The sequence below is a fragment of the Homo sapiens genome, chromosome 16, assembly GCF_000001405.40.
Source record: "Homo sapiens chromosome 16, GRCh38.p14 Primary Assembly".
Lineage (NCBI taxonomy): Eukaryota > Metazoa > Chordata > Mammalia > Primates > Hominidae > Homo > Homo sapiens.
In genome coordinates, this window is record NC_000016.10 from 46,380,683 (window position 1) to 46,396,879 (window position 16,197).

At 36.2% G+C, this 16,197-nt stretch overlaps 27 annotated features.

The window, feature by feature from the left end:
* Positions 1,571 to 2,076: an enhancer, noted in NCBI's record as "OCT4-NANOG-H3K27ac-H3K4me1 hESC enhancer chr16:46416165-46416670 (GRCh37/hg19 assembly coordinates)". NCBI's record gives its function as "activates a minimal SCP1, AML or CMV promoter by ChIP-STARR-seq in naive H9 embryonic stem cells {active_cell/tissue: H9 hESC(naive)}" and the evidence as "EXISTENCE:reporter gene assay evidence [ECO:0000049][PMID:30033119]".
* Positions 2,077 to 2,582: an enhancer, noted in NCBI's record as "OCT4-NANOG-H3K27ac-H3K4me1 hESC enhancer chr16:46416671-46417176 (GRCh37/hg19 assembly coordinates)". NCBI's record gives its function as "activates a minimal SCP1, AML or CMV promoter by ChIP-STARR-seq in naive H9 embryonic stem cells {active_cell/tissue: H9 hESC(naive)}" and the evidence as "EXISTENCE:reporter gene assay evidence [ECO:0000049][PMID:30033119]".
* Positions 2,583 to 3,088: an enhancer, noted in NCBI's record as "OCT4-NANOG-H3K27ac-H3K4me1 hESC enhancer chr16:46417177-46417682 (GRCh37/hg19 assembly coordinates)". NCBI's record gives its function as "activates a minimal SCP1, AML or CMV promoter by ChIP-STARR-seq in naive and primed H9 embryonic stem cells {active_cell/tissue: H9 hESC(naive and primed)}" and the evidence as "EXISTENCE:reporter gene assay evidence [ECO:0000049][PMID:30033119]".
* Positions 3,089 to 3,594: an enhancer, noted in NCBI's record as "OCT4-NANOG-H3K27ac-H3K4me1 hESC enhancer chr16:46417683-46418188 (GRCh37/hg19 assembly coordinates)". NCBI's record gives its function as "activates a minimal SCP1, AML or CMV promoter by ChIP-STARR-seq in naive and primed H9 embryonic stem cells {active_cell/tissue: H9 hESC(naive and primed)}" and the evidence as "EXISTENCE:reporter gene assay evidence [ECO:0000049][PMID:30033119]".
* Positions 3,595 to 4,100: an enhancer, noted in NCBI's record as "OCT4-NANOG-H3K27ac hESC enhancer chr16:46418189-46418694 (GRCh37/hg19 assembly coordinates)". NCBI's record gives its function as "activates a minimal SCP1, AML or CMV promoter by ChIP-STARR-seq in primed H9 embryonic stem cells {active_cell/tissue: H9 hESC(primed)}" and the evidence as "EXISTENCE:reporter gene assay evidence [ECO:0000049][PMID:30033119]".
* Positions 4,101 to 4,606: an enhancer, noted in NCBI's record as "OCT4-NANOG-H3K27ac hESC enhancer chr16:46418695-46419200 (GRCh37/hg19 assembly coordinates)". NCBI's record gives its function as "activates a minimal SCP1, AML or CMV promoter by ChIP-STARR-seq in primed H9 embryonic stem cells {active_cell/tissue: H9 hESC(primed)}" and the evidence as "EXISTENCE:reporter gene assay evidence [ECO:0000049][PMID:30033119]".
* Positions 4,607 to 5,112: an enhancer, noted in NCBI's record as "OCT4-NANOG-H3K27ac hESC enhancer chr16:46419201-46419706 (GRCh37/hg19 assembly coordinates)". NCBI's record gives its function as "activates a minimal SCP1, AML or CMV promoter by ChIP-STARR-seq in naive and primed H9 embryonic stem cells {active_cell/tissue: H9 hESC(naive and primed)}" and the evidence as "EXISTENCE:reporter gene assay evidence [ECO:0000049][PMID:30033119]".
* Positions 5,113 to 5,618: an enhancer, noted in NCBI's record as "OCT4-NANOG-H3K27ac-H3K4me1 hESC enhancer chr16:46419707-46420212 (GRCh37/hg19 assembly coordinates)". NCBI's record gives its function as "activates a minimal SCP1, AML or CMV promoter by ChIP-STARR-seq in naive and primed H9 embryonic stem cells {active_cell/tissue: H9 hESC(naive and primed)}" and the evidence as "EXISTENCE:reporter gene assay evidence [ECO:0000049][PMID:30033119]".
* Positions 5,619 to 6,124: an enhancer, noted in NCBI's record as "OCT4-NANOG-H3K27ac-H3K4me1 hESC enhancer chr16:46420213-46420718 (GRCh37/hg19 assembly coordinates)". NCBI's record gives its function as "activates a minimal SCP1, AML or CMV promoter by ChIP-STARR-seq in naive and primed H9 embryonic stem cells {active_cell/tissue: H9 hESC(naive and primed)}" and the evidence as "EXISTENCE:reporter gene assay evidence [ECO:0000049][PMID:30033119]".
* Positions 6,125 to 6,630: an enhancer, noted in NCBI's record as "OCT4-NANOG-H3K27ac-H3K4me1 hESC enhancer chr16:46420719-46421224 (GRCh37/hg19 assembly coordinates)". NCBI's record gives its function as "activates a minimal SCP1, AML or CMV promoter by ChIP-STARR-seq in naive and primed H9 embryonic stem cells {active_cell/tissue: H9 hESC(naive and primed)}" and the evidence as "EXISTENCE:reporter gene assay evidence [ECO:0000049][PMID:30033119]".
* Positions 6,631 to 7,136: an enhancer, noted in NCBI's record as "OCT4-NANOG-H3K27ac-H3K4me1 hESC enhancer chr16:46421225-46421730 (GRCh37/hg19 assembly coordinates)". NCBI's record gives its function as "activates a minimal SCP1, AML or CMV promoter by ChIP-STARR-seq in naive H9 embryonic stem cells {active_cell/tissue: H9 hESC(naive)}" and the evidence as "EXISTENCE:reporter gene assay evidence [ECO:0000049][PMID:30033119]".
* Positions 7,137 to 7,642: an enhancer, noted in NCBI's record as "OCT4-NANOG-H3K27ac-H3K4me1 hESC enhancer chr16:46421731-46422236 (GRCh37/hg19 assembly coordinates)". NCBI's record gives its function as "activates a minimal SCP1, AML or CMV promoter by ChIP-STARR-seq in naive and primed H9 embryonic stem cells {active_cell/tissue: H9 hESC(naive and primed)}" and the evidence as "EXISTENCE:reporter gene assay evidence [ECO:0000049][PMID:30033119]".
* Positions 7,643 to 8,147: an enhancer, noted in NCBI's record as "OCT4-NANOG-H3K27ac-H3K4me1 hESC enhancer chr16:46422237-46422741 (GRCh37/hg19 assembly coordinates)". NCBI's record gives its function as "activates a minimal SCP1, AML or CMV promoter by ChIP-STARR-seq in naive and primed H9 embryonic stem cells {active_cell/tissue: H9 hESC(naive and primed)}" and the evidence as "EXISTENCE:reporter gene assay evidence [ECO:0000049][PMID:30033119]".
* Positions 8,148 to 8,654: an enhancer, noted in NCBI's record as "OCT4-NANOG-H3K27ac-H3K4me1 hESC enhancer chr16:46422742-46423248 (GRCh37/hg19 assembly coordinates)". NCBI's record gives its function as "activates a minimal SCP1, AML or CMV promoter by ChIP-STARR-seq in naive and primed H9 embryonic stem cells {active_cell/tissue: H9 hESC(naive and primed)}" and the evidence as "EXISTENCE:reporter gene assay evidence [ECO:0000049][PMID:30033119]".
* Positions 8,655 to 9,160: an enhancer, noted in NCBI's record as "OCT4-NANOG-H3K27ac-H3K4me1 hESC enhancer chr16:46423249-46423754 (GRCh37/hg19 assembly coordinates)". NCBI's record gives its function as "activates a minimal SCP1, AML or CMV promoter by ChIP-STARR-seq in naive and primed H9 embryonic stem cells {active_cell/tissue: H9 hESC(naive and primed)}" and the evidence as "EXISTENCE:reporter gene assay evidence [ECO:0000049][PMID:30033119]".
* Positions 9,161 to 9,666: an enhancer, noted in NCBI's record as "OCT4-NANOG-H3K27ac-H3K4me1 hESC enhancer chr16:46423755-46424260 (GRCh37/hg19 assembly coordinates)". NCBI's record gives its function as "activates a minimal SCP1, AML or CMV promoter by ChIP-STARR-seq in naive and primed H9 embryonic stem cells {active_cell/tissue: H9 hESC(naive and primed)}" and the evidence as "EXISTENCE:reporter gene assay evidence [ECO:0000049][PMID:30033119]".
* Positions 9,667 to 10,172: an enhancer, noted in NCBI's record as "OCT4-NANOG-H3K27ac-H3K4me1 hESC enhancer chr16:46424261-46424766 (GRCh37/hg19 assembly coordinates)". NCBI's record gives its function as "activates a minimal SCP1, AML or CMV promoter by ChIP-STARR-seq in naive and primed H9 embryonic stem cells {active_cell/tissue: H9 hESC(naive and primed)}" and the evidence as "EXISTENCE:reporter gene assay evidence [ECO:0000049][PMID:30033119]".
* Positions 10,173 to 10,678: an enhancer, noted in NCBI's record as "OCT4-NANOG-H3K27ac-H3K4me1 hESC enhancer chr16:46424767-46425272 (GRCh37/hg19 assembly coordinates)". NCBI's record gives its function as "activates a minimal SCP1, AML or CMV promoter by ChIP-STARR-seq in naive and primed H9 embryonic stem cells {active_cell/tissue: H9 hESC(naive and primed)}" and the evidence as "EXISTENCE:reporter gene assay evidence [ECO:0000049][PMID:30033119]".
* Positions 11,185 to 11,690: an enhancer, noted in NCBI's record as "OCT4-NANOG-H3K27ac hESC enhancer chr16:46425779-46426284 (GRCh37/hg19 assembly coordinates)". NCBI's record gives its function as "activates a minimal SCP1, AML or CMV promoter by ChIP-STARR-seq in naive and primed H9 embryonic stem cells {active_cell/tissue: H9 hESC(naive and primed)}" and the evidence as "EXISTENCE:reporter gene assay evidence [ECO:0000049][PMID:30033119]".
* Positions 11,691 to 12,195: an enhancer, noted in NCBI's record as "OCT4-NANOG-H3K27ac hESC enhancer chr16:46426285-46426789 (GRCh37/hg19 assembly coordinates)". NCBI's record gives its function as "activates a minimal SCP1, AML or CMV promoter by ChIP-STARR-seq in naive and primed H9 embryonic stem cells {active_cell/tissue: H9 hESC(naive and primed)}" and the evidence as "EXISTENCE:reporter gene assay evidence [ECO:0000049][PMID:30033119]".
* Positions 12,196 to 12,702: an enhancer, noted in NCBI's record as "OCT4-NANOG-H3K27ac-H3K4me1 hESC enhancer chr16:46426790-46427296 (GRCh37/hg19 assembly coordinates)". NCBI's record gives its function as "activates a minimal SCP1, AML or CMV promoter by ChIP-STARR-seq in primed H9 embryonic stem cells {active_cell/tissue: H9 hESC(primed)}" and the evidence as "EXISTENCE:reporter gene assay evidence [ECO:0000049][PMID:30033119]".
* Positions 12,703 to 13,208: an enhancer, noted in NCBI's record as "OCT4-NANOG-H3K27ac-H3K4me1 hESC enhancer chr16:46427297-46427802 (GRCh37/hg19 assembly coordinates)". NCBI's record gives its function as "activates a minimal SCP1, AML or CMV promoter by ChIP-STARR-seq in naive and primed H9 embryonic stem cells {active_cell/tissue: H9 hESC(naive and primed)}" and the evidence as "EXISTENCE:reporter gene assay evidence [ECO:0000049][PMID:30033119]".
* Positions 13,209 to 13,714: an enhancer, noted in NCBI's record as "OCT4-NANOG-H3K27ac-H3K4me1 hESC enhancer chr16:46427803-46428308 (GRCh37/hg19 assembly coordinates)". NCBI's record gives its function as "activates a minimal SCP1, AML or CMV promoter by ChIP-STARR-seq in naive and primed H9 embryonic stem cells {active_cell/tissue: H9 hESC(naive and primed)}" and the evidence as "EXISTENCE:reporter gene assay evidence [ECO:0000049][PMID:30033119]".
* Positions 13,715 to 14,219: an enhancer, noted in NCBI's record as "OCT4-NANOG-H3K27ac-H3K4me1 hESC enhancer chr16:46428309-46428813 (GRCh37/hg19 assembly coordinates)". NCBI's record gives its function as "activates a minimal SCP1, AML or CMV promoter by ChIP-STARR-seq in naive and primed H9 embryonic stem cells {active_cell/tissue: H9 hESC(naive and primed)}" and the evidence as "EXISTENCE:reporter gene assay evidence [ECO:0000049][PMID:30033119]".
* Positions 14,220 to 14,726: an enhancer, noted in NCBI's record as "OCT4-NANOG-H3K27ac-H3K4me1 hESC enhancer chr16:46428814-46429320 (GRCh37/hg19 assembly coordinates)". NCBI's record gives its function as "activates a minimal SCP1, AML or CMV promoter by ChIP-STARR-seq in naive and primed H9 embryonic stem cells {active_cell/tissue: H9 hESC(naive and primed)}" and the evidence as "EXISTENCE:reporter gene assay evidence [ECO:0000049][PMID:30033119]".
* Positions 14,727 to 15,231: an enhancer, noted in NCBI's record as "OCT4-NANOG-H3K27ac hESC enhancer chr16:46429321-46429825 (GRCh37/hg19 assembly coordinates)". NCBI's record gives its function as "activates a minimal SCP1, AML or CMV promoter by ChIP-STARR-seq in naive and primed H9 embryonic stem cells {active_cell/tissue: H9 hESC(naive and primed)}" and the evidence as "EXISTENCE:reporter gene assay evidence [ECO:0000049][PMID:30033119]".
* Positions 15,232 to 15,737: an enhancer, noted in NCBI's record as "OCT4-NANOG hESC enhancer chr16:46429826-46430331 (GRCh37/hg19 assembly coordinates)". NCBI's record gives its function as "activates a minimal SCP1, AML or CMV promoter by ChIP-STARR-seq in primed H9 embryonic stem cells {active_cell/tissue: H9 hESC(primed)}" and the evidence as "EXISTENCE:reporter gene assay evidence [ECO:0000049][PMID:30033119]".

Genomic DNA, 16,197 nt, shown 5'->3' on the forward strand with positions numbered 1-16,197 from the left:
GAATTCCATTCGATTATCATTCCGTATGAATCCATTTGATGATTATTCCATTGGATTCCTTTCGATGATGATTCCATTCAATTCCATTTGATGATGTTTCTCTTGTATTCCATTGGATAATTCCTTTCAGTTCCCTACGATGATTATTCTTTCGAGTCAATTCGATGATTCTATTCCATTCCCTTCGATGATGATTCCATTTCACTCCATTTGATGATTCCATTCGACTCAATTTGGTGATGATTCAATTCGATGACATTCGATGACTCCATTCAATTTCATTTGATGATGATTACATTCGAGTCCATTTGATGATTGTATTCCTTTCCTTTTGATGATTATTCCATTCGTGTCTATTCAAAGGTTCCATTCTATTCCATTCAATGATGATTGCATTTGATTCCATTCAAAGATTCCTTTCGAGTCCATTCCATAATTCTATTGGATTCCACTAGGTGATGATTCCTTTCGAGTCAATTCGATGATTCCTTTCAAGGGCCTTCAATGATTCCATTCGATTCCATTCGATGACGATTCATTTCAAGTCCATACAATGATTCCATTCTGTTGAATTTGATGGTTCCATTTGATTCCATTCGATGATGATTCCATTCGTGTCCATTGGACGATTCCATTCGATTCCTTTCGAGGAAGATTCCATTCGACTCCATTCGATGATTCCATTCGATTCCATTCCATGATGATTCCATTTGATTCCATTCCATGATTCCATTCGATAACATTCGATGATGATTCCATTCGACTCCATTTGATGAATCCATTCAATGCTTCCATTCGAGTCCATTCGAGGATTTCATTCGATTCCATTCGATGAAGATTCCATTCGAGTACATTTGATGATTCCATTTAATTCCATAGGATGATGATTCTGTTAGGGTCCTTTGACTATTCCATTCAATTCCATTCGAAGATTGCATTCGAGTCCACTCGATGATTCTATTTGATTCCATTTGATAATTCCATTCGATTCCATTTGATGTTGATTCCATTCCAGTCCATTCGATCATTATTACATTTGATTCTATTCGATGATTCCATTCGATTCCATTTGATGAGGATTCCATTCGAGAGCATTTGATGACTGCATTCAATTCATTTGATGATGATTCCATTCAATTCCATTGGATGATTCCAATATTTTCCATTAGATGATGATTCCATTCGATTCTATTCAATGATGATTCCATCAGAATCCATTCGATGATGACTCCTTTTGCTTCCATTCAATGAACATTACATTCGGTTACATTCGATGATGATTCCTTTGGATTCCATTTGATGATGCTTCCATTCGATTCCATTTGATGATGATTCTTTTCGATTCCATTTGATGATGATTCCATTTGATTCCATTCGATGGTGATTCCATTTGATTCCATTTGATGATTCCATTCTTTTGTATTCGATGAGGATTCCACTCGATTCCATTTGATGATGACTGCATACGATTCCATTTGATGATTCCATTTGATTCCATTCGATGATGATTCTGATCAATTGCATTCGATCATTCATTCGATTCCATTTTATGGTTCCATTTGATTCCATTTGATAATGATTCCTTTCGAGTCCATTCGATGATTCCATTTGCGGATATTCGATAATTCCATTTGAGTCCAATCGATGATTCCATTCGAGAATATTCAATCATTCTTTTTGAGTCCTTTCGATAAAGATTCCATTTGAGTCCATTCAATAATTCCACTGGAGTCCATTCGATGATTGCTTTTAATTCCATTCGATGATATTCCATTCGAGTCCATTCGATGATTCCATTCGTTGCTATTAGATGATTATTCCATTCATGACAATTTGGTGATTCCATTCGATTTCATTCGTTGATGATTCCAATGGAATCCATTGGAATCATTGAATAAAATCGAATGGAATCTTCTAATGGAATCTAACGGAATAATCATCGAATGGAATCAAATGGAATCAACGAGTGGAATCGATAGCCATAATCATTGAATAGAATCAAATGGAATCATCGTTGAATGGAATAGAATGGAATCTTTGAATAGACACGAATGGAATAATCATCAAAAGGAAAGGAATACAATCATCAAATGGACTCGAATGTAATCATCATCAAATGAAATTGAATGGAGTCATCGAATGTCATCGAATTGAATCATCACCAAATTGAGTCGAATGGAATCATCGAATGGAGTGAAATGGAATCATCATCGAAGGGAATGGAATAGAATCATCGAATTGACTCGAAAGAATCATCATCGAAGGGAATTGAAAGGAATTATCAAATGGAATACAAGAGAAACATCATCAAATGGAATCGAATGGAATCATCATCGAAAGGAATCCAATGGAATAATCATCAAATGGATTCATACGGAATCATAATCGAATGCAATTCAAACGAATCTTCATCGAAGGGAATCGAATGCAACAATCGAATGGAATCTAATGGAATCATCATCGAATGGAATCGACCGGAATCATCGAATGGAATAGAAGAGAATCATCATTGAATGGAATCGAATGGAATCGTCAATGAATGGAATCGAATGGAATAATCAGTGAATGGATTCATACGGAAGCATCATCGAATGGAATTGAATGGAATCATCTTCGAATGGAATTGAATGGAATCGAATGGAATGATCGTTTGGACTCCAATGGAATCATCGAATGGACTTGAATGGAATCATCATTGAAAGGAATCAAGTGAAATCATCATCAGATGGAATCAAATGGAATCATCACTGAATGGAATGAAATGGAATCATCGAAGGGAAAGAGATGGAATCATCATCGAATGGAATCAAATAGAAGCATTGAATGAAATCGAATGGAATCATAATAGAACAGAATTGAATAGAATCATCATCGAATGGACTCGAATGGAAACATCGTCAAATGGAATGGAAAGGAATCATCGTCGAATGGAGTCGAATGGAATCATCAATGAATGAAATCGAATGGAATCATAATAGAACAGAATTGAATACAATCATCGTCGAATGGACTCTAATGGAAACATCGTCAAATGGAATCGAAAGGAACCATCATCGAATGGAGTCGAATGGAATCATCAATGAATGGAATCGAATGGAATCATCATAGAAAGGAATCATAGGGAATCATTGCAAGGAATCGAACTGAATCATCAAATGGCATCAAATGGAATCATCATTAAATGGAATTGAAGGGAATCATCAAGTGGACATGAATAGAATACAAAAATGGACTCGAATGGAATCATTGAATGGAACCGAATGGAATCATCGATTGGACTTGAATGGAATCATCGTCAAGTGGAATCAGATGGAATCAACGAAGGGATTTGAATGGAATAATCGAATGAATTCGAATGGAATCCACATAGAATGGAATTGAATTGAATCATTCAATGGACTCCAATGGAATCATCATCGAATGGAGTCAAATGAAATCATCATCACATGGAATCAAATGGAATCATCACTGAATAGAATCGAATGGAATCATCGAATGGACTCGAATGGAATCATAGAATGGAATAGAACGGAATCATCGAATGGACTCGAATGGAATCATGGAATGGACTCGAATGGAATCATCAACGAATGAAATCGAATGGAATCACCAAATGGTCATGAATGGAATCATCATCTAATAGCAACGAATGGAATCCTCGAATGGACTCGAATGGAAGCATTGAATGGATTCATCAAATGGAGCCGAATGGAATCATCATCGAATGGTATCGAATGGAATCATGGAATGGAATCAAATGGAATCATCATGGAATGGAATCGAACGGAATCATCGAATGGAGTCGAATGGAATCTTCCTCGAAAGGAATCGAATGGAATCGTCCAATGGACACGAATGGAATCATCATCGAATGGAATCAAATGGAACCATCAAATTCAACAGAATGGAACCATTGAATGGACTGGAAATGAATCGTCATCGAATGGAATCGAATGGAATCATTGAAGGCCCTTGAAAGGAATCATCGAATTGACTCAAAAGGAATCATCACCTAGTGGAATCCAATAGAATTATCGAATGGACTCGAAAGGAATCTTTGAATGGACTCAAATGGAATCATCATCGAATGGAATCTAATGGAATCATTGAATGGAGCCCTCATCGAATGTAATAAAAGAGAATCACCGAATGCACTAAAATGGGATGATCGAATAGCCTCGAATTGCATCATCATTAAACGGAATCGAATGGAGTCATCTCATGGACTCGAATGTAATCATCAAATGGACTCAAAAGGAATCATCATCAAGTGGAATCGAGTGAAATCGTCGAATGGACTCGAATGCCTTCATCGAATGTGGTCGAATGGAATCATCATTGAATAGAATCGAATGGAATCATCACATGGGCTCGAATGTAATCATTATCGAATGGAATCATCATCGAATGGAATGGAATGGAATCATTGAATGGAATCGAATGGAATCATCATCAAATGGAATCAAAAGGAATAATCGAATGGACTCGAAGGGAATCATCGAATGAACTCTAATGGAATCATTATCAAACGGAATCCAATGGAATCATTGAATGGACTCGAATGGAATCATCATCGAATGGAATTGAATGGAATCATCGAATGGAATGGAATGGAATCATCCTCGAATGGAATCTAATGAAATCACCGAATGGACACGAATGGAATCATCCAATGGATTTGAGTGGAATCATCATTGAATGGAATCGAATGGAATCATCAAATGGACTCGAATGGAATCATCTTCGAATGGAATCGAATGAAATCACAATCGAATGGAATGGAATGGAGTCATCATGTAATGGAGTCGAATGGAATCATCATTGAATATAATAGAATGGAATCACCATATTGAATCAAATGGAAAGATCATCGAATGGAATTGAAGGGAATCATCGAATGGGAATGAAAGGAGTCATCAAATGGAATTGAGTGGAATCATCAAATCGATTCGAATGGAATGATCATCGAATGGAATTGAATGGTATCATCGAATGGACTCGAATGGAATCATCATCAAATGGAACCAAATGGAATCATCGAATGGACACGAATGCAATCATCATTGAGTGGAATCAAATGGAATCTTTGAATGGCATCGAATGGAATCATCATCGAATGTAGTCTAATAAAATAACCGAATGGACTCAAATAGAATCATCGATTCAAGTCGAATGGAATCATCATCGAATGGAATCCAATGGAATCATCGAATAGCATCAAATGGAATCATCGTCGAATGGATTCAAATGGAATCATCGAATGGACTCGAATGGAATCGTCATGGAATGTAATCGAATGGAATCTTCGAATGGACTCGAATGGAATCATCATAGAATGGAATCTAATGGAATCATCGAACGGAATAGAATTGAATCAACATTGAATGCAATCGAGTAGAATCATTCAATGAAATCGAATGGAATCATCATCGAATGGAATCGGGTGGAATCATCAATGAATGGAATCGAATGGAATCATAGAATGGAATCCAATGTAATCATCTTCGAATAGAAAACAAAGCAATCATTAAATGTACTCTAATGGAATCATCGAATGGACTCGAATGGAATCATCGTTGAATGGAATATAATGGAATCATCGCATGCAATCGAATGGAATCATCGAATGGACTCGAATGGAATCATCATAGAATGGAATTGAAAGGAATCATCAAATGGAATTGAATGAAATCATTGAATGGACTCAAAAGGAATCATCATCGAATGGTATTGAATGGAATCGTTGAGTTTACTCTAATGGGATAATCATTGAATGGAATTGAATGCAATCATTGAATGGAATAGAATGGAATCATCATTGAATGGAATCAAATGGAATCCTCAATGAATGGAATCGAATGGAATCATCATCGAATGGAATTGAACGGAAACATCAGCGAATGGAATCGAAAGGAATCATCATGGAATAGATTCGAATGGAATCATTGAATGGAATGGAATGGAATCATCACAGAAAGGAATCAAAGGGAATCATCGAATGGAATCAAACGGAATCATCGAATGGAATGGAATGGAATGGAATCATCATCGAATGGACTCAAATGGAATAATCTTCGAAAGGAATCGAATGGAATCGAATGGAACAATGAAATGGACTCCAATGGAATCATCTAATGGAATCGAGTGGAATCATCGAATGGACTCGAATGGAATCATCATCAAATGAGATCGGATGGAATCAATGAAGGGACTCGAATGAAATCATCGAATGGACTCTAATGGAATCATCATCAAATGAAATTGAATGGGATCATCATCAAATGTAATTGAATGGTATCATTATCAAAAGAAATCCAGTGGAATCACCAAATGGACTCGACTGTAATGATTAAATGGACTCGAATGGAATCATCAAATGGAATCGAATGGAATCATCGAATGGACTCGAATGGAATTTTTGAATGGACTCGAATGGAGTCATTGAATGGACTCTAGTAGAAACATAATCAAATGGAATCAAATGGAATCATCAAATGGACTCGAATGGAATCATTGGATGTACTCGAATGAAATCATCGAATGGACTCAAATGGAATCATCATCGAATGGAATCAAATGGAATCCTCGAATAGAATCAGATGGAATCATCAAATGGAATCGAATGTAATCATCATCAAATGGAATAGAATGGAGTGATCGAATGGAATCAATGGCAATCATCATCCACTGGAATCAAACGGAATCATTGAATGGAATCGAATGGAATCAATGTCAAGTGGAATCGAGTGGAATCATCGAAAGAAATCGAATGGAATCATTGTCGAATGGAATGCAATGGAATCAAAGAATTGAATTGAATAGAATCACCAATGAATTGAATCGAATGGAATCCTCATCGAATGGAATCGAAGGGAATCATTGGATGGGCTGAAATAGTATCATCATCTAATGGAATCATGTGGAATCATCTAAGGGACACAAATAGAATCATCATTGAATGGAATCGAATGGAATCATCTAATGTACTCGAATGGAATCACCATTGAATAGAATAGAATGGAATCATCGAATGGAATCGAATGGAATCATCATCATATGGAATTGAGTGGAATCATCGTACGGACTCGAATGTAATCATCAGAGACTGGAATCAAATGGAATCATTAAATGGACTCTAATGGAATCATCATCGATTGGAATCGAATGGAATCATTGAATGGACTCCAATGGAATCATCACCAAATATAATCAAAAGAAATCATCAAATGGATTCGAATAGAATCATCGAATGGACTCGAATGGAATCATCATCGAATGGAATCAAATGGAATCATCAAATGGACTCGAATGAAATCATCATCAAACGGAATCGAATGGAATCATTGAATGGAATGGAATGGAATCATCATGGAATGGAAACGAGTGGAATCACTGAATGGACTCAAATGGGATCATCATCAAATGGAATCGAATGGAATCATCTAATGAACTTGAAAGGAATCATCATCAAATGAAGTCAAATGGAATCACCAAATCGACATGAATGGAATCATCATTGAATAGAATCGAATGGAATGATTGAATGGGCTAGAATGGAATCATCTTTGAATGGAATCAAATGGAATCATCATCGAATGGAATCGAATGGAAATGTCAACCAATTGAATCAAATAGAATCATCATGGAATTGAATCGAATGGCTCACTGTCGAATCAAATCCAATGGAATCATCATCGTATGGAAATGAATGGAATCATTGAATGGAATTGAATGGAATCATCATTGAATGGAATCGAATGAAATCATCAACGAATGGAATCTAATGTAATCATCATAGAATTGAAACCAATGGATTCATTAAATGGACTCGAATGGAATCATCGAATGGAATCGAATGGAATCATCATCAAATGAAGTAGAATGCAATCATCAAATGGAATCGAATGGAATCATCATCGAATTGAATCTAATGGAATAATAGAATGAACTCGAATGGAAACATCGAATGGAGTTGAATGGAATCATCATCGAATGAGATCGAATGGAATCATCGAATAACATCGAATGGAATCATCGTCGAATGGAGTCTAATGGAATCATCAAATGGACTCGAACGGAATCGTCATGGAATGTAATTGAATAGAATCTTCTAACAGACTCAAGTGGAATCATCATCGAATGCAAGCGAATAGAATCATCATCGAATTTAATCGAATGGAGTCATCATCATATGGAATCGAGTGGAAGCATTGAATGGGCTCAAAAGAAATCATCGGAGAATGGAATTGAATGGAATCATCAAATGGACTCGAATGGAATCATCATCAAATGGAATCAAATGGAATCATCGAATGGACACGAATCAAATCATCGTTGAATGGAATCGAATGGAATCATCGAATGGACTCCAAGGGAATCATTAGCGAATGAAATTGAATGAAATCATAATCGAATGGAGTCGAATGGAATCATCATCGAATGGAGTCGAATGGAAACATCACTGAATGGAATCAAATGAAATCACCGAATTGAATCAAATGGAATGATCATCAAAGGGAATCAAAGGAAATCATCGAATGGGATCAAATGGAGTCATCGAATAGAATCGAGTGGAATCATCGAATGGATTTGAACAGAATCAACATCGAATGGAATCGAATGGAATCATCGAATGGACTCGAATGGAATCATCTAATGCACTCGAATGGAATAATCATCGAATGTAATCGAATGGACTCATCCAATGTAATCAAATGGAATCATCAAATGGAATCGAACGGAATCATCATCAAATGGAACCGTATGGAATCATTTAATGGAATCAAAGGCAATCATGGTCGAATGGAATCAAATGGAAACATCATTGAATAGAATTGAATGGAATCATCACATGGAATCAAATGGAATCATCGTAAATGGAATCAAGTGGAATCATCGAATGGAATCTAATGGAATCACCATCGAATGAAATTGAGTGGAATCTTTGAATGAATTCGATTGGAATCATCATCGAATGGACTTGAATTGAATTATCGAATGGATTTGAATGGAATCATCATCGAATGGAATCCAATGGAATCATCGAGTGGAATCGAATGGAATCATCATTGACTTGAATTGAATGGAATCATCAAATGGACTCGAATGGAATCATCATAGAATGGAATCGAATGCAATTATCGAATGGACTTGAATGAAATCACCTTTGAATGGAATCAAAGGGAATGATCGAAAGGAATCGAATGCCATCATCATCGAATGGAATCGAAAGGAATCATCGAATGGAATTGAATGGAATCACCATTGAATGGACTCGAATGGAATCATCATCGTATGGAATCGAATGGAATCATCATCATATGGAATCAAATGGAATCATCGAATGGACAAGAATGGAATCATCGTCAAATGGAATCAAGTGGATCATCGAATAGAAACTAATGGAATCATTGTTGAAAGAAATGGAATGGAATCATTGAATGGAATTGAGTGGAATCACCAATGAATGGAATCGAATGGAATCATCATCAAATGGAATAGAATGGAATAATGGAATGGACACGAATGGAAACCTGTGGAACCATAGAATGAACACGAAATGAATCATAATCGAATGCAATCGAAAGGAATCATCATTGAATGCAATCACATGGAATCATCACAGAATGGAATCGTACGGAATCATCATCGAATGGAATTGAATGGAATCATCAATTGGACTCGAATGGAAACATCAAATGGAATCGATTGGAAGTGTCGAATGGACTCGAATGAAATCATCGAGTGGAATCGAATGGAATCATCGAAAGGACTCGAATCAAATCATAAAATGGACTCGAATGGAATCATCGAATGCACTCCAATGGAATCAACATCGAACGGACCCTACCGGAATGATCAAATGGACTCGAATGGAATCATTGAATGGAAATGAATGGAATCATTGAATGGACTCAAATGGAATTATCGAACGGGCTCAAATGGAATCATCGAATGGACTCGGATGTAATCATTATCGAATGGAATCGAATGGAATCATCGAATGGAATTGATCGAAATCATTATCGAATGGAATCAAATGAAATCATCAAATGGAATCGAATCCAATCATCATCGAATGGAATCGAATGGAATCATCATCGAATACAATAGAATGGAATCATCAAATGGAATCGAATGGAATCATCATCGAATGGAATCGAATGGAATCATCAAATGGAATCCAATGGAATCATCATCAAATGGATTCAAATGGAATCATTTTCGAATAGAATCGAATGGAATCATTGAATGGAATCATCATCAAATGGAGTCCAGAGGAATCACTGAATTGAATGGAATTATCATTGAATGGAATCGAATGGAATCATCAAATGGAATCTAATGGAATCATCATCAAATGGATTCAAATGGAATCATTTTCGAATAGAATCGAATGGAATCATTGAATGGAATCATCATCAAATGGAGTCCAGAGGAATCACTGAATTGAATGGAATTATCATTGAATGGAATCGAATAGAATCATCCAATGGAATCAAATGGAATTATCATCAAATGGAATCGAATGATATCATCGAATGCACTTGAATGGAAGCATCAACGAATGGAATTGAATGGTATCATCGAATGGACTCGAATGGAATCATCTTCGAGTAGAATCTAAAGGATTCACTAAGTGGACTCCAATGGAATAATCATCAAATGGAATCGAGTGGAATCATCATATATACTCGAATGGTAACATCGAATGGAATCGAATGGAATCATCAAATGGATTTGAATGGAATAGTCATCAAATGGAATCAAGTGGAACGATCGAATGGACTGGAATGGAATCATCATCGAATGCATTTGAATGGAATCATCGAATACACTCGAATGGAATCTTCATCGATAGGAAATGAATGGAATCATCAAATGGACACGAATGGAATCATTGTCGAATGGAATCATATGGAATCATCAAATGGACTCGAATGCAATCATCGAATGAACTCGAATGGAATCATCATCGAATGGAATCGAATAGAATCATTGAATGGACTCGAATGTAGTGATCAAAAGGACTCGAAAGGCATTAACGAATGGACTCGAATGGAATCATTGAATGGACCCTAATGGAATCATCATCAAATGGAAAAGAATGGAATCATCAAATGGACTCGAATGGAATCATCAAATGGACTCAAATGGAATCAGTGAATGGAGTCGAATGGAATCATCATTGAATGGAATCAATTGGAATCATTGAATAAAATCGAATGGAATCTTCTAATGGAATCTAACGGAATAATCATCGAATGGAATCAAATGGAATCAACGAGTGGAATCGATAGCCATAATCATTGAATAGAATCAAATGGAATCATCATTGAATGGAATAGAATGGAATCTTTGAATAGACACGAATGGAATAATCATCAAAAGGAAAGGAATACAATCATCAAATGGACTCGAATGTAATCATCATCAAATGAAATTGAATGGAGTCATCGAATGACATCGAATTGAATCATCACCAAATTGAGTCGAATGGAATCATCGAATGGAGTGAAATGGAATCATCATCGAAGGGAATGGAATAGAATCATCGAATTGACTCGAAAGAATCATCATCGAAGGGAATTGAAAGGAATTATCCAATGGAATACAAGAGAAACATCATCAAATGGAATCGAATGGAATCATCATCGAAAGGAATACAACGGAATAATCATCAAATGGATTCATACGGAATCATAATCGAATGGAATTCAAACGAATCATCATCGAAGGGAATCGAATGCAACAATCGAATGGAATCTAATGGAATCATCATTGAATGGAATCGACCGGAATCATCGAATGGAATAGAAGAGAATCATCATTGAATGGAATCGAATGGAATCGTCAATGAATGGAATAAAATGGAATAATCAGTGAATGGATTCATACGGAAGCATCATCGAATGGAATTGAATGGAATCATCTTCGAATGGAATTGAATGGAATCGAATGGAATGATCGTTTGGACTCCATTGGAATCATCGAATGGACTTGGATGGAATCCTCATTGAAAGGAATCAAGTGAAATCATCATCAGATGGAATCAAATGGAATCATCACTGAATGGAATTAAATGGAATCATCGAAGGGAAAGAGATGGAATCATCATCGAATGGAATCAAATAGAAGCATTGAATGAAATCGAATGGAATCATAATAGAACAGAATTGAATAGAATCATCATCGAATGGACTCGAATGGAAACATCGTCAAATGGAATGGAAAGGAATCATCGTCGAATGGAGTCGAATGGAATCATCAATGAATGAAATCGAATGGAATCATAATAGAACAGAATTGAATAGAATCATCGTCGAATGGACTCTAATGGAAACATCCTCAAATGGAATCGAAAGGAATCATCATCGAATGGAGTCGAATGGAATCATCAATGAATGGAATCGAATGGAATCACCATAGAAAGGAATCGTAGGGAATCATTGCAAGGAATCGAACTGAATCATCAAATGGCATCAAATGGAATCATCATTAAATGGAATTGAATGGAATCATCAAGTGGACATGAATAGAATACAAAAATGGACTCGAATGGAATCATTGAATGGAACCGAATGGAATCATCGATTGGACTTGAATGGAATCATCGTCAAGTGGAATCAGATGGAATCAACGAAGGGATTTGAATGGAATAATCGAATGAATTCGAATGGAATCCACATAGAATGGAATTGAATTGAATCATTCAATGGACTCCAATGGAATCATCATCGAATGGAGTCAAATGAAATCATCATCAGATGGAATCAAATGGAATCATCACTGAATGGAATCGAATGGAATCATCGAATGGACTCGAATGGAATCATAGAATGGAATAGAACGGAATCATCGAATGGACTCGAATGGAATCATCATCCAATGGAATTGGATGGAATCATCATCGAATGGAATCAAATGCAATTAATGAATGGAATTGAAAGGAATCATCTTCCAATGAAATCAAATAGAAGCATCGAATGAAATAGAATGGAATCAGAGAATGGATTCAGATGGAATCATCATCAAATGGAATCGAATAGAAGCATTGAATGAAATCAAATGGAATTATCATCCAATGGACTCGTATGGAATCATCATCGAATTGACTCATATGGAATCATCGTCGAATGGATTCCAATGGAATCATCATCGAATGGATTTGAATGGAAACATCATCTAACTGAATCCAATAGAATCATCATGGAATTGAATCGAATTGCTCACCGTCGAATGGAATCAAATGGAATCACCGAATGGAATCGAATGGAATCATCATTGAATGGAATCAAATGGAGTCATCGTCGAATGGAATGAAATGGAATCATCCAATGGAAGAGAATTGAATCATCATCGAATGGAATCGAATAGAATCATCGAAAGGAATCTACTAGAATCATCAAATGAAATCGAATGGAATCATCATTGAATAGAATCCAATGGAATCAACATCAAATGGAATCAAATGGAATCATCATCGAATGGAATCGAATGGAATCATCATCAAATGGAATCGAATGGAATCATCCAATATAATAGAATTGAATCACCATCGAACGGAATCGAATAGAATCATCGAATGAACTCAAATGGAATCATCATTGAATGGAATCGAATCATCAACGAATGGAATTGAATGGAATCATAGAATGGAATCCAATGTAACCATCATCGAATTGAACCCAATGGAATCATTAAATGGACTCGAATAGAATCATCGAATGGACTCGAATGGAATCATCATCGAATGGAATAGAATGGAGTCTGGAATCGAATGGAATCATCATCAAATGAAATCAAATGGAATCATCGTATGGACTCCAACGGAATCATCATCGACTGGAATAGAATAGAAGCATCGAATGAAATCAAATGGAATTATCATCGAACGGAGCCATATGGAATCATCATTGAATTGACTCATATGGAATCATCGCCGAATGGATTCCAATGGAATAATCATGGAATGGATTCGAATGGAAACATCATCTAATTGAATCAAATAGAATCATCATGGAATTGAATCGAATTGCTCACCGTCGAATGGAATCAAATGGAATCATCGAATGGAATCGAATGGAATCATCATCGAATGGAATGAAATGGAATCATCCAATGGACGAGAAGTGAATCATCATTGAATGGAATCGAATAGAATCATCAAATGAAATCCAATGGAATCATCATCGAATAGAATCGAATTGAATCAACATCAAATGGAATCGAATGGAATCATCCAATGTAATAGAATGGAATCACCATCGAAGAGAATCGAATAGAATCATCGAATGAACTCAAATGGAATCATCATCGAATGGAATCAAATTGTCAATGAACGGAATGGAATGGAATCATAGAACGGAATCCAATGTAATCATCATTGAATTGAACCCAATGGAATCATTAAATGGACTCGAATGGAATCTTCGAATGGACTCGAATGCAATCATCATCAAATGGAATAGAATGGAATCATCGAATGGAATCGAATGGAATCATCATCGAATGAAATCAAATGGAATCATCATATGGACACGAATGGAATCATCATCGAATGGAACTGAATGGAATCATCGAATGGACTCGAATGGAATCATCATCGAATTGAATTCAAAGAAATCATCAAATGGACTTGAATGGAATCATGGAATGGACTCGAATGGAATCATCAACGAATGAAATCGAATGGAATCACCAAATGGTCATGAATGGAATCATCATCTAATAGCAACGAATGGAATCATCGAATGGACTCGAATGGAATATCATCGAATGGAATTAAAAGCAATCATCGAATGGACTCCAGTGGAATTATTGAATGGACGAAAATGGAATCTTTATCGAAAGGACTCAAAAAGAATGATTGAATGGTCTCGAATGGAATCATCGATTGGACTCAAATGGAATTACCGAATCTCTGCAAATGGAACCATCGAATGGACTCGAAAGGAATCATTATCAAATGGAATCAAATGGAACCATCAAATGGAATCGAATGGATCATCGAATGCAATTGATCAGAATCATCATCGAATGGAATCAAATGGAATCATCAAATAGAATCGAATGCAGTCATCATCAAATAGAATCGAGTGGAATCATCATCGAATACAATCGAATGGAATCATCAAATGGAATCACCATCGAATGGAATCAAATGGAATCATCATCAAATGGAATCGAAAAGAATCATCATCAAATGGAATCGAATGGAAGCATCATCGAATGGAATGCAAAGGAATCATCATCGAATATAACCGAATGTAATGATCATTGAATGGAAGCAAAAGGAGTCATCATCGAATGGATTCTGATGGAATCATCATTGAATGGAATCGAATGGAATCATCATGTAATGGAAAATATTGGAATCATCCAATGGAATTGAATGGAATCATCATCAAATGAATTGAATGCAATCATCAAATGGTCTCGAATGGAATCCTCATCAAATGGAATCGAATGGAATCATCGAATAGAATCAAATGTAATAATGATAGAATGGACTCGAATGGACTCAACATCAAATGGAATCGAATGGAATTATCAAATGGAATCAAATAGAATCATTGAGTGGACTCGAATGGAATCTTCGAATGCAATTGAATGGAATAGTCAACGGACCCTAATAGAATCATCATCCTATGGAATTAAATGGAATCATCAAATGTACTCGAATGGAATCTTCATCGAATGGAATCGAATGGAATCCTCGAATGGACTCGAATGGGAGCATTGAATGGATTCATCAAATGGAGTAGAATGGAATCATCATCGAATGGTATCGAATGGAATCATGGAATGGAATCAAATGGAATCATCATGGAATGGAATCGAACGGAATCATCAAATGGATTCGAATGGAATCTTCCTCGAAAGGAATCGAATGGAATCGTCCAATGGACACGAATGGAATCATCATCGAATGGAATCAAATGGAACCATCAAATTCAACAGAATGGAACCATTGAATGGACTTGAAATGAATCGTCATCGAATGGAATCGAATGGAATCATTGAAGGCCCTTGAAAGGAATCATCGAATTGACTCGAAAGGAATCATCACCTAGTGGAATCCAGTAGAATTATCGAATGGACTCGAAAGGAATCTTTGAATGGACTCAAATGGAATCATCATCGAATGGAATCTAATGGAATCATTGAATGGAGCCCTCATCGAATGTAATAAAA